We start from the raw sequence: 13,826 nt of genomic DNA, 5'->3' as shown, positions 1-13,826 counted from the left end.
ACTTATTCCATATATGTCTTAACTGAAGCCAGCAAACAACAATTCTTTAATAATCAAGCTTTAGAAATGGGAGTTGAAGTATTTTTTACTTATGAGAAATATCTCAGTGAGCTAATGATCAAGGTGGAATTGGAACAAAAGCTTCTGCTTGCCTATTTCTCATCTGCTAGACCATGATACAGTTATCACCACTATCACTGATGATGATAGCTGGTTAGTCTAATAGCATGAAGATTTAAAATGTCTCGCTATATTTAAATCCTCACAATGTCATTTTTCTTTCTAAGATGTCCTAGCAGAAAGTTTTCTTAAAGAATCAGGTAGGCTTCTATTTAAAAAGTTGCACGTAGTAGATAAAGTGACAGGGAGGAAACCTAGAGTTAAATTTGGCTTATTTGTGAGTATAGGGCTCCCTACAGCCAAGTGTGAATTAAAACTCTATCCAAAGCCCTGCATTTTGGAACCCCATCTATGCTTGACTCATTCCACAACACTGGTATTGAGATCACTCTCCATTAAGTGCAGTTGGGAATCAGCTATTAAACCTTGTTCAGAAGTTATAAGCCAATCTGGAAAACCAGGAAAGGGAGCATACAAGCTACTTCACAGAGAAAATCCTACTAGAGCTCAGAGTTTCTGCTTTAATTGGAGCCATAATTATGGAAGTCATAATTATGTGGGGAAAAACAAATCAAAACAAACTTAACTTTTGGATTTTTTCACTTTGACCCATTGGCTAGCTTACCTAGAAATGAACTCTTGAATTTAAGTGATTTTTTTTTTAAGGCTGGAGAGACTTTATTATAAGGTTCCTGGGGTGTATGATGCCATCACTTGGTCACAGGAATTATACTTTATTAACAAAGAAAGCTAAAATCTCAAAGTTGGTGCGGTAGGAAAGGAGAAAGAGGCTTTGAAGTGCATGCTTTGATAAATGTAGAAATGCCCTCTTCTAGAACTTCTTTTTTTATATTTAGTCCACTGGTTCAAGAGCTTTAGTTTACCATCTCTAAAGCTTATATATTTACACAATTTCCCTCCACAATGTAATTTGTTCCAGAATGTGTTGCCTACCTCTTATTCAAAATCTTTTTACTCAGTGTTATGATCCAGTGTCATTCCCCTGCTACACTGCACTTCATATCTTATCTTGCTATTTTCTCCAAATGAGCAAATTGCCTCTGTCTCCTTCGATGTCATTTTATAGTGTCCTATGTACAGTTTTACTATTTTTCTTATGTTGGAAAGAATCATTCTATCGACTTTTTTATGCCTTTGGAAACTGTTCAGGAGACCTAACTTGTCACCTCTATAAGCCAATGGATGAGATGAAGGATCTTAGTGTGTCTGAACTGCAGGGTACTTAGAATTCCCAAATCCTTTTTCTTTTATGGATGAGGTAACAGGATCCTAGAGGAGGCCATTGACTTGCTGAATGAGAACAAATGCATTAACTGCAAAACAAATGCTTGCACTCAGTTTTCCAACTCCTGTATTTTTCTGAATTTGACTCTGAAACTGCACAATAAATAAACATTCTATTAAAACTCATTTTCCTTAATTCTGTATTGTCATAATAGATTAAAAACAAGAGGCATTGCTTCTTCCTTTTTATCAACAATAAGCAATATGTGATGATAAGGTGATACGATTTTTTAACGAACAAACTTATCAGACTTCATACATGATATAAGCCACAAGTTTCTAGGTAGATCTTTTAGAAGTCTGTACAATTATTCAAGTGGTGTGGATTTTGCTTAGAATATTGTTTAACATGCAGATGATTCAAGGACTGTGAATATTTTGAACAGAAAAGAGAACTGTTTCTAATGCCTCTGAGGTTCTGCCACTAACAGATGGGTTATATTAGGATGAGGAGAGGTTTTCCATCTTCTCATGTGAAAAATACACAGCTGGACCAGGAAGGGATAAAGGAAAAACTCTTTTTCTTCTTCTGCTCCTTATCATTAGTGACTTTCTATAAGGCAAACATAGTTATGTTAGTAAAAGAGCTAGTGAGGTCACTTGCTTGGGCCTTCAATATAATTATTATAAATATAGTGAGAAATGTAACTGAACACGTATGAGATGTTTCTGAAATGTATATGTAATATTTTATATAAAGAATGAGTTAAGGCAGTGCGTGGTGGCTCATGCCTGTAATCCCAGCACTTTGGGGGGCCGAGATGGGCGGATCCCCTAAGGTTGGGAGTTCGAGACCAGCCTGACCAACATGGAGAAACCCCGTCACTACTACAAATACAAAATTAGCTGGGTGTGGTGGTGTGCGCCTGTAACCCCAGTGACTCGGGAGGCTGAGGCAGGAGAATCACTTGAACCCAGGAGGTGGAGGTTGCGGTGAGCCAAGATCGTACCATCGCACTCCAGCCTGGGCAACAAGAGTAAAACTCTGCCAAAAAAAAAAAAAATAATAATTTAAATAAGAACAAGAGTGAAGATATATATTTTTTCAAGGCCAAACTTCAAAGTGGAAAATTACTATATATTCTTTAGTCTGAATCAAATCTGACAGCTGGAAATGCTATACTTTTAGGAGCTGCTCTTTTGGAACAGATATGAAGAGAGAAGCCTAAGAATTCAAGTCTGGATTTCCTGGAATTGAAACTTCCATGTAAAGAGCTGTCATTGAGTGGCCACTTTGTTTAATTTCAAATCTTATGACCTGGGAAAATGATAAGAGAATAAATCTCTGAGGTGAAGGTGTTTGTTTTATAGGGAAAAAAAATTAAAAATTTAAAAATTTATGTGCATGTGCATATATATATCTTTCCAAATTGTTTCTACCATTAGTGGACTCCAATGAATATAACTTAATAATCTTTTGGTTGATTAACACACATACAATTTCAAATTTATGTATTTTATAAAGTCTTCCTTTTGCATAATGGATAACAAAGATCATTCATCTGTTTAGTAGTGAGGAAGAAACCATATGTTAATTTTTCAGTTGGAGTTAGCATAAGAACATTGAGTAACAGAGAACAAGCTATTCTTGGATTTGAGGACTATCAGCTAGTTCAGAAATAATTTAGGTTAAGCTCTTTATTTTGTAGATGAAGATACTGACACCTGGAAAGATGATATGATTTTCCCAAGGTTACAGAGTTGGCTAGTTACACAGCTGGGATGAGTCTGCGTGTTTCAATGTTTTGTAGCAAAATCAGGTATATGTGTCTAGGTGTATGTATAGAGAAACTTAGGGTATGAGTGTGTACGTGTGCATATATATGTAATGATTTATCAGCCTGTATCATGTTATATGGTGTAGGGGGCCTTCAGAGTTTTGATGTACTGTGGGGAGGAATACATCAATAATCCATGAATGGGATTAGCAAGAATGGGAAAAGGATGAGAGAAAAAGGATTATCATATGAAAAGAAATATGCTTCAAAAAGGGAGGTGGGAAAGCTTCACAGATTTCACATCCTTGTCAGTACCTGTGCCCATCCACCCTTTACCAGGCTTTCTAGGCTTCTCAATTCCTCCTATACCTCAGACTACAAATTAGTGAGTTAAATTAAAGATTTTGCAGGTAACAAACCTGATACCTAGAAAGATTAAGTGACTTGCCCGATGTCACTATACAGTACCATTTTTAAAAGTGGTTCTGGAGCCTTCTCTCACCTTAGGGGTTGCAGCATAAGCCCTCATGGTCTGACTGGCCTTCCGGTATCCTGCGTGTAATGTCTACCCTGCCAATATCACTATTTTGGACTTTGTGTTTTTGTTTCCTCAGTCCAGCTGCTTGTTCTGTTGATGATACAGGAACTATTTCCTGTTGATATCCACTCAGAGGCAAAATCATGCTTTAAATAGAAGCACAAAAAATATGGGTTGAGTTTCCTTACTCTTTAGCATATGACTTTATTTTTCCATTAAGTGAACCAAAAAGTGCCACAACAGAATCTGAAAAAGGCTTCATAGACTTGGAAGCCAAGTGACGTGGGATCTACCCCTGGATCTGACTGACCTGAAGCAACCAGTTAATCTCTCTCAATCTCATCAATTAAATACATTAAATCAAAGGGTTGGTGTAAGGATAAAATGAAAAAATATATCTAACCTAGTATATAGTAGGCACTCAGTAAATATGTTATTTTTTCCTATCCTTTCCTGATGACTTCACAGGTTGTTTTGAGATTGGAATTATATAATTGACGTGAAGACATGTCAAAGAGTTGAAATACATTTAACAAGAATTAGGAATTGTTTTTATTTCTCTGATGTGGGAATGTTAAACATTGCCTTCTCTGAAATGGCATTTAAGAAAAGTCTTCTAGTTGTGAAGCAACTTTAATTCAAAGAATATTTGCCTACCAGATAAATACAGCAAATTACATAGTGAGAGGTGAGACTGAGGTTTTCTGTTTGGTCTATTGCTTCCCAACAAATATGGTAACGGTTCTGATGAGTTGTCCATATCTACAGTGTGCAGCCCCATCTATCTCGCCTGTCTTTGAACTTGAGAAACACTTTAATAAGGCCTATGCTTTTTGTGGAAAGGAATTTGCCTGTCAAGAAACCACTTGGTTTCTTGCTGTGCTGTGGAATTCCGTTTTATGTTCTGAACCCATCGTGTGTCCTGGGCTTCCAGTTATATTTATTTATTTACTTTTCATACTTGGGGGCTGGGCTTAGAGCACGAAAGCAGTCTTCATGTGCAGCCAGAGTGTTGGATTTTTACTGTCTCTCTTTTGAATATTTTTGGGTCATTAGGAATTATTACTGCAGGTGACTGGCTTGTAAAAATCACCATGACAATATTTCCTTGCATATTTGCCTCGTGCAATTATCCATATTTTTACCAGAAAAAAATTCTTAAATCATTCTTGTATATATTTGTGTGTGTGTGTTTTATAACAATAGCTAATGTTAACAAGATAAATTTCTCTGAGCAGAATATATATTATTTGTGCTAGAAAAGAGCAAAGATTAAAAGAAAGGGGTTGCCAAGAGCTGGGAGTTTGCTTTTGTCTCTTTCTCTTTATTTAATCCCTCAGCATCTCCTGTCTCTCTAATGGGAAATACAATTCTCTTTGATTGCAATAAAACTTTGGAGAACACAAAATCTAAAGGAAGAATGAAAGATGAGGCCGGGCGCGGTGGCTCACGCCTGTAATCCCAGCACTTTGGGAGGCCGAGGCGGGCGGATCACGAGGTCAGGAGATCGAGACCATCCCGGCTAAAACGGTGAAACCCCGTCTCTACTAAAAATACAAAAAATTAGCCGGGCGTAGTGGCGGGCGCCTGTAGTCCCAGCTACTTGGGAGGCTGAGGCAGGAGAATGGCGTGAACCTGGGAGGCGGAGCTTGCAGTGAGCCGAGATCCCGCCACTGCACTCCAGCCTGGGCGACAGAGCGAGACTCCGTCTCAAAAAAAAAAAAAAAAAAAAAAAAAAGAGAAACATGAACCCCAATAAAATGGTAAAAAACCAAGTAGATATCCAGAGTACCAACTAAATTATCATCATTAAAAATAGCCTAATTTGAATATCACTGCTACTGCCACTGGACACTGAGTGCCAGGACCCTGCATGATACCGTTAGCAGAGAAATAAATTCTCAACTATCTCTTCTTTCATGTGCCATTTACTACAGAATCAAATCTTCCATGGTGGCATCTGATTGAACAAGACTAAGTCATATGCCCAGACACCAGCTTTCACTTCTATAAATGCAAGGTAAGGCTCTGCCTCCCACCAAGACTTCAAAAATGGTAGATTCCATAAACCAAAATATTATGTTTGGTAGTTGATTGGCCAATTGAATGTCCATCATATTCTGCTTAAAAGAGCATTTTCAGAAACTTCAAATTCTGGAAAGATGAAATAAATTTACTTCTTCTTGTTTTTCTTTCTCAGCACAACTAAAACCCTGGATGTATTAGTCCATTCTCATGCTGCTTATAAAGACATACCCAAGACTGAGTAATTTATAAAGGAAAGAGGTTTAATTGATTCACAGTTCAGCATGGCTGGGGAGCCCTCAGGAAACTTATAATCATGGTGGAAGGGGAAGTAAACACATCCTCCTTCACATGGCGGCAGCAAGAAGAAGTGCCAAGCCAAAGGGGGAAAGCCCCTTATAAAACCATCAGATTTAGTGAGAACTAACCACTATCATGAGAACAGGATAGGGGGACAGCCCCCAGGATTTAATTATCTCCACATGGTTTGTCCCACAACACCTGGGGATTTGAGTGGGGACACAGCCAAACCATATCACTGGATACTACAGATGAAATGAAAATACACCTCTGAAAAGTAAAAAGAAGAAGGAAAGCGACTAGAGACTTCAGGACTGGAGGAGCAACAGGGTGGTGAGATCCCTGGGTGCTCTTTTTGTCTTATGTATCTCAGACCTGGAGCTAAAGGGGCCAGCAACCCAGAAACACCAACGTGTGTGTATATGCCCCAAAACAAAGCCTCCTCTTCCTAGCCAAAGGATCAAGAAATAAATATCAGGGAGATCGTGTGGAAAGCCTTAGATTCTACAACCACCCAGCAAAAATGAGATGTCCCTCCTGGTCCCCGTGGGGTTGTATCAGAGGAGGCCTAATGGCAAGTAAGGATTTGCCCCATTGCTCAGTGGTAACAGGGCGGCCACTACTATAGTGTCAGTGGAGACCATGTGGAGAGCCAGAATGTCCATTCTAGCTTCCCATATGCCAGAAACCAGGGACAAAGATCAAGTATAGTCTTTATTGTAACATATATCCATAGGCAACAAGCTGAACTTTGGCTTCTCATACCTTACACAAATATTAACACGGAATGGACCACAGACTTATGTGTAAAACATACAACCACAAAGCTTTTGAGAAAAAAAAAAAGGAGAAAATCTTTGCCATCCAGGGGTAGACAAAGAGTTTGTAGATTTGACACTAAAAGCATGATCCGTAAAATAAAAATTTGGTATGTTGGAGTTTATAAAAATTGAAAACTTTCTTCTGTGAAGGACCCTCTAAAGAGAATGAAAATATAAGCTACAGAATAAGAGAAAACACTTGTAGACCACATATCTGAGCTATCAGGAAAAAGTGAAGAACTCTCAAAACTCACCCGTTAAAACAAAATCCAATTATAAAATGAGCAAAATACATGAAAAGATACTTCACCAAAGAAGAAATATATAATGCAAATAAACATATGAAAAGACGCTCAACATCAGTCATTAGAGAAATTCACATAAAAGTATAATGCAATATCACTATAAACCTCTTAGAGTGGCTAAAATAAAAGAGTAGCAATATCAAAAGTGGGAAAGAATGTAGAGAAACAATGTGTTAGTTTGCTAGGGCTACTGTATAACAATATATGGCAGGCTGGGTTGCTTAAACAACAGAAATGTATTTCCTCACAGTTCTGGAAGCTAGAAATTCTACATCAAGGTGCTCTCCAGTTTGGTTTCTCTCTTCCTGGCTCGCAAACAGTTGCTTTCTCTTTATGTCTGTGCAAAGCATTTTCTCTGTGTGTGTATATGTTACAGGAACTCTGGGATTTGGTCTAGATACTGCTGCTTACCACACAAAAAGCCAATCACTGAGCAGAAAATGACCAGGGAAGAGGCTTTATTCAGGTGCTGCAGCAGAGGAGTTGGGAGATCAGTCTCAAATCCATGTCCCTGACTAACTAAAATTGAAGGTTTATATAGCAGAAAAGGAATGTAGCTATGTGCAGGAAAACAGCAATTAGAGAGGGGTAAGGAAGAGGAGTTGGTCAATAGGAAGCAGGTGGTCCCTTAGTAAACCAATAATTACAGCAGGTAAAGAAACAATCACGATGAATGAGGGGGTCTGGTGTCTCATTGCCCAGATGTGATGATTGGTTAAGTTTCAATTTCTTGATACTATCTGGGAGGCCTGATGGTTGGTTTCCTGAGAAAGAAACTCAGATAAGGCAGTTGTAAGTTTCTCAAGTTTTAAGACTGGCAGGGCCAATTTTTATGATTATCCCATAAACTATCTATGGCACAATTAGGTTGGTTTCACACAAAAGGAGAGAAAATGATCTTTGGTGTTGCTTCCTGTTATAATAAGAACATCATTCATATGGGATTAGGGACCCACTCTCGTGACCTCACTTAAACTAATTACTTCCCTAAAGGCCCCATCTCCAAATACAGCCACGTTGTGGGTTAGGCATTCAGCATATGAATTTTGGAGGGATACAGTTCAGCCCATAACAACAGGTACCTTACAGATTTCTGGAAAGAATGTAAAATTACACAGACACTGAAAAACAGTTTGGTGGTTTCTTAAACTAAAACTGCAACAACTATGTGATTATACTCTTAGGCATAAATCTCAAAGAAATAAAAACCTATGCTCACAAAAAAATCCTGCATGTAAATTTTTATAGCAGCCTTTTTATTTTTCATAATGGCCAACAACTAGAAACAAACCAGATGTCCTTTAATGTGTGAATAGTTAAACAAACTGTTGTACATTCATACTATGGTATTGATAGGAACAAACTACTGATACATGAAAAACTTGGATGAATCTCCAGAGAATTTGCTAAGTAAAAACATGAATTCAAAAATGTCATATACTCTATGATTCCATTTGTACAACATTTTTGAAATGACAAAATTATAGAAATTGAGGACAGATTAGTGGTTTCCACAGTTAACCAGGTGTTGTGGTGTGTGTCTGTGGTCACAGCTACTTGGGAGGCTGAGGTGGGAGGATTGCTTGAACCTGAAAGGTGGAGGTTGCAGTGAGCTGAGATTGGGCCACAGCACTCCATCCAACCTGGGTAAGAAAGTGAGACCTTGTCTCAGTAAATATATAAATATAAAAAGGCAACAAAAGAGTTAATTGTGTTGATAGAAAATATTTGTGTCTTAACTATATAAACCTCAATATTCTAATTCTGTTATTATACTAAAGTTTTGCAAGGTGTTGCCACTGGGGGAAATTAGATAAAAGATATATGGGGTTTCTCTGAATTATTTTTTACATCTATGTGTGAATCTATAATTGTTCAATATAGAAAGTTTAATTTAAAAAAAGACAGCTTTTACCTTTCATGGAGGGAGGAAGTGCTGAGGTATGCTGAGAAGATGGGGCTCATATAACCCTCATCTCAGTTTATTATAATTCAATGTTCACACCAGGAGAGGTTGAGAAGACTAGAGGCTACATAGCCCCTGCTCACAACCTTGGGGCCAAAGCAAGAAAGTCATGAAGACAAAAGCAGGCCACTGGCTCTACATTCATATCCGGATGCATTGTCATTTCAACAATGTCCATGATTTCTTCACCAGGAGGAGATTCCATCTCAATAAATCACTTTCTTTGCTCTTTCATAAGAAGCAACTCCTCATCCCTTCAAGTTTTAGTATGAGACTGCAGCAATTCAGTCACATCTTCAGACTCTACTTCTAATTCTAGTTGTCTTGCTATTTCTATTTAATACCACATCTGCAGTTACTTTCTCCACTGAAGTCTTGAATCCCTCAAATTCATTCATGAGTTTTGGAATCAACTTCTTCCAAACTCCTGTTCATGTCGATATTTTGACCTCCTCCCATGAATCATGAATTTTCTTAATGGCATCTAGAATGGTGAATTCTTTCCAGCAGGTTTTTAATTTAATTTGTCCAGATCCATCACACAAATCACTCTTTATGGCAGCTATAGCCTTATGAAATATATTTCTTAAATAAGAAATGCCTTTGAGAGTTGAAAGACTTGAAAGTAGAAATTACTCTTTGATCCATGGACTGCAGAATGGATGTCCTTTTAGCAGACATAAAAACATTAACTTTTTTGTTCATCTCCATCAGATCTCTTGGGTGACTAGGTGAATTCTCAATAGCAGTGATATTTTGAAAGGATTTTTTTTTTTTCTGAGCAGTAAGTATTAACAGATAGCTTAAAATATTCAGTAAACCATGATGTAAATAGATGTACTGTCATTCAAGCTTTGTTCTTACATTTGTAGAGCACAGGCAGAATAGATTTAGGGTAATTTTAAAGAGCCCCAGGATTTTCAGAATGGTAAATGAGCATTGAGTTCAACTTAAAGTCACCAGCTGCATTACCCCCTAAGAAGAGAGTCAGCCTGTCCTTTGAAGCTTTGAAGCCAGGCATTGACTTCTCCTCTCTATCTATGAAAGTCATAAATGGAATCTTCTTCCAATATAAGGCTGTTTTGTCTATATTCAAAGTCTGTTGTTTAGCATAGCCCTCTTTATCAATTGTCTTAGCTAAATTTTCTGGATTACTTACTGTAACTTCCACATCAGCATTTGCAGCCTCACCTTGCACTTTTATGATATGAACAAAACTTTATTCCTTTAACTTATGAACTGACCTCTGCTAGCTTCAAGTAACTGAAGGCAAATTAAAGAATCACATCAAGTTATGATTATAGCACAAAGGAGTTGAGTAGGAACAAAGCTATATTTGATTAAGGAACTCACACCAGACAGGAATTCAAATATACAAACACAAATGCCAAGAACCAGAAATAGTAAATAAGAAGGGTACTATAATAAATGCTGCGAATATATGATTGCTGTTCTTTCTCCTCTCAGCTTTTCTGAGAGACACCAAGTTTATATAAAGAAAGAATTATAACAACGTATTGTTGGCTACTTTCTTTGTATATGTATCACAAAGTCATCATTTTGTCAATCAAAAGGTTTTTTTTTTCACATAGTCTACTAAAGTAGGAAAAGTGAGACTATGTTTAATTTTAAAAAATTATTGTGGACAGAGTATGGGTTTATAATTAAAGCTATCAATGACGTATTTGGTTTTCTCTGCAATGAATCAAACTTTCACAAGCAGTGAAAAAATTACCAATGCTGCATAATTAGACAGAAAAGGATAAAACCATATTTAAATACTTTGTTTTCAACCACTGTCAAGATCCATTAATAATAAAGACCACATGTACATAGCATTCCCTATATACCCAGCAGCATTCTGAGTGCTTTCCGTTTATTAATTTCTTTAATCTTCAAAACTCTCTGAGGGAGAAACTGCTGCTGTATCTTTTTTTTTTTTCTTTTTCTTTTTTTTTCAGATGAGGAAACTGAAGCACGGACAAGTTAAGTGATTTTTCCAACATCACACAGACACGAAATGGTGGGAGTAGAATTTGAACTCAGGCATTCTGGTGTGAAGGTCTGCACAGTTAAACACTAGGCTATCCATTTTAAGATTTTTTCTTTAAAATAGTGTTGTTATGTAGGCTCTGAGACAAATATTTTGATAAAGTCACATAAATATGGTGAAGAAGCATTTTCTGAGCATTCAGGATGTCAGTAAAAGAAAGACGTATAGATATTCTAAAGTTTCTCTCCTTCATTCCATAGATGATAAAAAACAAAGGGCCAGGAATTGATTTTTATTCAAGATCATGTTACTGCTTAATAGCAAGGCCTAGGGTTGAATTCCAGGTTTCCTGGGTCTTAACCTCACATTTAAAAAAAATCCATACCAAAAAGAAAAAGTTGCAAGAAAGATTTTCCATTGCAATTTTCAGTTCAGCAAAAGAATGACACTGCCTTGTTCTATAATTTAAATCAAATCTCACTTTATTTCAATTACCCATCCTGGATATGGAAAATAAATAAGGAAGGATTCAGCTAAAAAGAGAAGAGAAGAGCCACAGGTAATGCTGCAGAAAGATCAAGGCAAATGAACAACAAAAGAAAGCATTGGAGTTTTGGGGGGGACAACAACAGAAAAGTTTATTGAGAAGTTTACTGAGGACATCATATGAGTTTTCTAGGAGGAAGACAGAGGAACATTTCAGAAGTCAAGCCCAGCTGTTATAGTGGGAGAAGTGAGTAGGTATGGAAACTAGACTTCCCTTCTGAATATATGAGTATATAAACTGGAATGATCTTGAAATTTAGATATGAGGAAATTAAGATTTACATCCAAGTGCAGTTCACTGCCTATGTACAAGAATCCAGACATTAACCAGTGTTTATAGACTGGTTCCTACATGGTAAGTATCAGTAAAAAAGAGGAGCTAAGGGTATCTCTCAACTTCTTCAAAGTTATTTTTCCATAATCCTATTGTATCAAGTCAATAAGAGGAGTCACAACACTTTTAATGAAAATTTAAAATAGAAGTAAATTCTCTTCCTTTTTTTTTTTTATCAACAGGGATCATTTTGGTTAAGTCACTGCCTTTCAGGGTTCAAGTGAAGTTTAAGTTTTATTACTTCCAGACTTTTCAGAACATTTAATATTGTGATGTCCATTATCCGAGAGACCTAGAGCATGCACATTTGCCCAAATCTATTTGATCAGGGGAACTCTTTTTAGAAAGACTAACCTGTTGGATGTTATGTTTTCAGCACATACTTCAGAAAACTCATCCAGAAATAATTCACTTTTACATCATTCAAAAATTGTTATACACTTATTTTTCTGTTTTCTCACTGGACTTGGATTTTCCATATGATGTGTGGTCATCTTTCCAACAAGTTAAGTGTGAACACCATCCCTACCTCTTCACATTTCTAGTTCAATATCTTGAACTAGAAATTATCAACTTTAAATATTTAAAATCCAGTAATGTCTCATAGTTGAACAGCTTTGTCTTCTCCTTTATCAATCATGCACTGTGCAGGCGCTTTTATCAAAGACCATGTGAAAAGTTCAGTGTTGTCTTTCTGCTTCCTGGGCACAAAGTAGCCAATTCTGGAAGTGAAGTCTTTCCCTTTATGGTTTCCAATGCAAAGGCAGCACCTATCAGGCCCCTGGTTTGTGACATGGCTCCTGTGTGTGACAAAGTTTGACAGATCACCTAGTAGCAGCAACCACCTACCTTTCACAGTTGTGCTGAGTTTTGGTGCGCAAGACATCTTCTTTTTGCAGTTTTCTTCTAAATTTCTTAGCTTAATATTCAAATTTCAGCCCCATTTTCAGTCTCAGTCTCCCTTTTCAACCTGTCTCCAAGGACTCGCTTTGATTTTTTGGATTTTTTTTTTTTTTTTTTTTTTTTTTGAGACATAGTCTCGCTGTGTCGCCCAGGCTGTAGTGCAGTGGCGCAATCTTGGCTCACTGCAAGCTCCGCCTCCTGGGTTCACGCCATTCTCCTGCCTCAGCCTCCCGAGTAGCTGGGACTACAGGCGCCCGACACCACGCCCGGCTAATTTTTTTTTTGTATTTTTAGTAGAGACAGGGTTTCACTGTGTTAGCCAGGATGGTCTCGATCTCCTGACCTCGTGATCCGCCCGCCTCTGCCTCCCAAAGTGCTGGGATTACAGGCGTGAGCCACCGCGCCCAGCCATGGACTTTTTTTTTAAAATTGATTTATTGAGTCATTAATTCATCCAACAATTGTTTTCTACCATAGGTGTTGTGATGAATAGAGACAAATATGGAGCCTGCCAGCTAGAAGCTTTGGCTTGGTAGGAAGAAAACGACATGCAGAAAACATTCGCTGGATATATGGTAATAGATAAGAAGTACTATTAAATAGTAGGAGGTAAGGTGTCATCTGAGTTGAGAGGAAGACTTCTAAATGGGGCATTTGAGAAGGCTTTATAGAAGAAGTTACATTTGAGATGATCCTGGGTCTCCAAAAATTTCTGAGCATCTACTATGTGCCAGCTTGAGATTACATTCATGACTAGCCTCAATAAAACGAATAACACTTACTGCATGCCATGTACCCTCTCAGCGCCTTTTCTGTGTTCTCTCTCACAACAATTGCAGAAAGTATGGACTATTTTATTCTCATTTTGCAAATAAACAGACTCATTCATTTAATTTGTCTGCAGACCCTCAGTTAGTAAGTGGTAAAGACAGGATTTACATCCAGGAAGCAT

General features: G+C 37.5%; 1 long non-coding RNA gene across 6 annotated transcripts in view; it reads right to left on the bottom strand.

Annotated features, from left to right (window-relative positions):
- LOC102723370 (uncharacterized) overlaps window positions 1–13,826 on the bottom strand; it is a 366,694-nt gene that overhangs the window by 171,343 nt on the left and 181,525 nt on the right. For 2 of the 6 annotated variants that reach the window (XR_007062617.1, XR_007062620.1), the window contains exon 1: window positions 3,646–3,821. The exons of the other annotated variants lie outside the window; for them this stretch is intronic. This is a non-coding gene — a long non-coding RNA (uncharacterized LOC102723370). Of the gene's footprint in view, window positions 1–3,645; window positions 3,822–13,826 lie in introns of those variants that run through there. 6 annotated transcript variants of the gene reach the window in all.

The sequence above is a fragment of the Homo sapiens genome, chromosome 11, assembly GCF_000001405.40.
Source record: "Homo sapiens chromosome 11, GRCh38.p14 Primary Assembly".
Taxonomy (NCBI): domain Eukaryota; kingdom Metazoa; phylum Chordata; class Mammalia; order Primates; family Hominidae; genus Homo; species Homo sapiens.
This window is presented reverse-complemented; position numbering and strand designations above follow the sequence as displayed.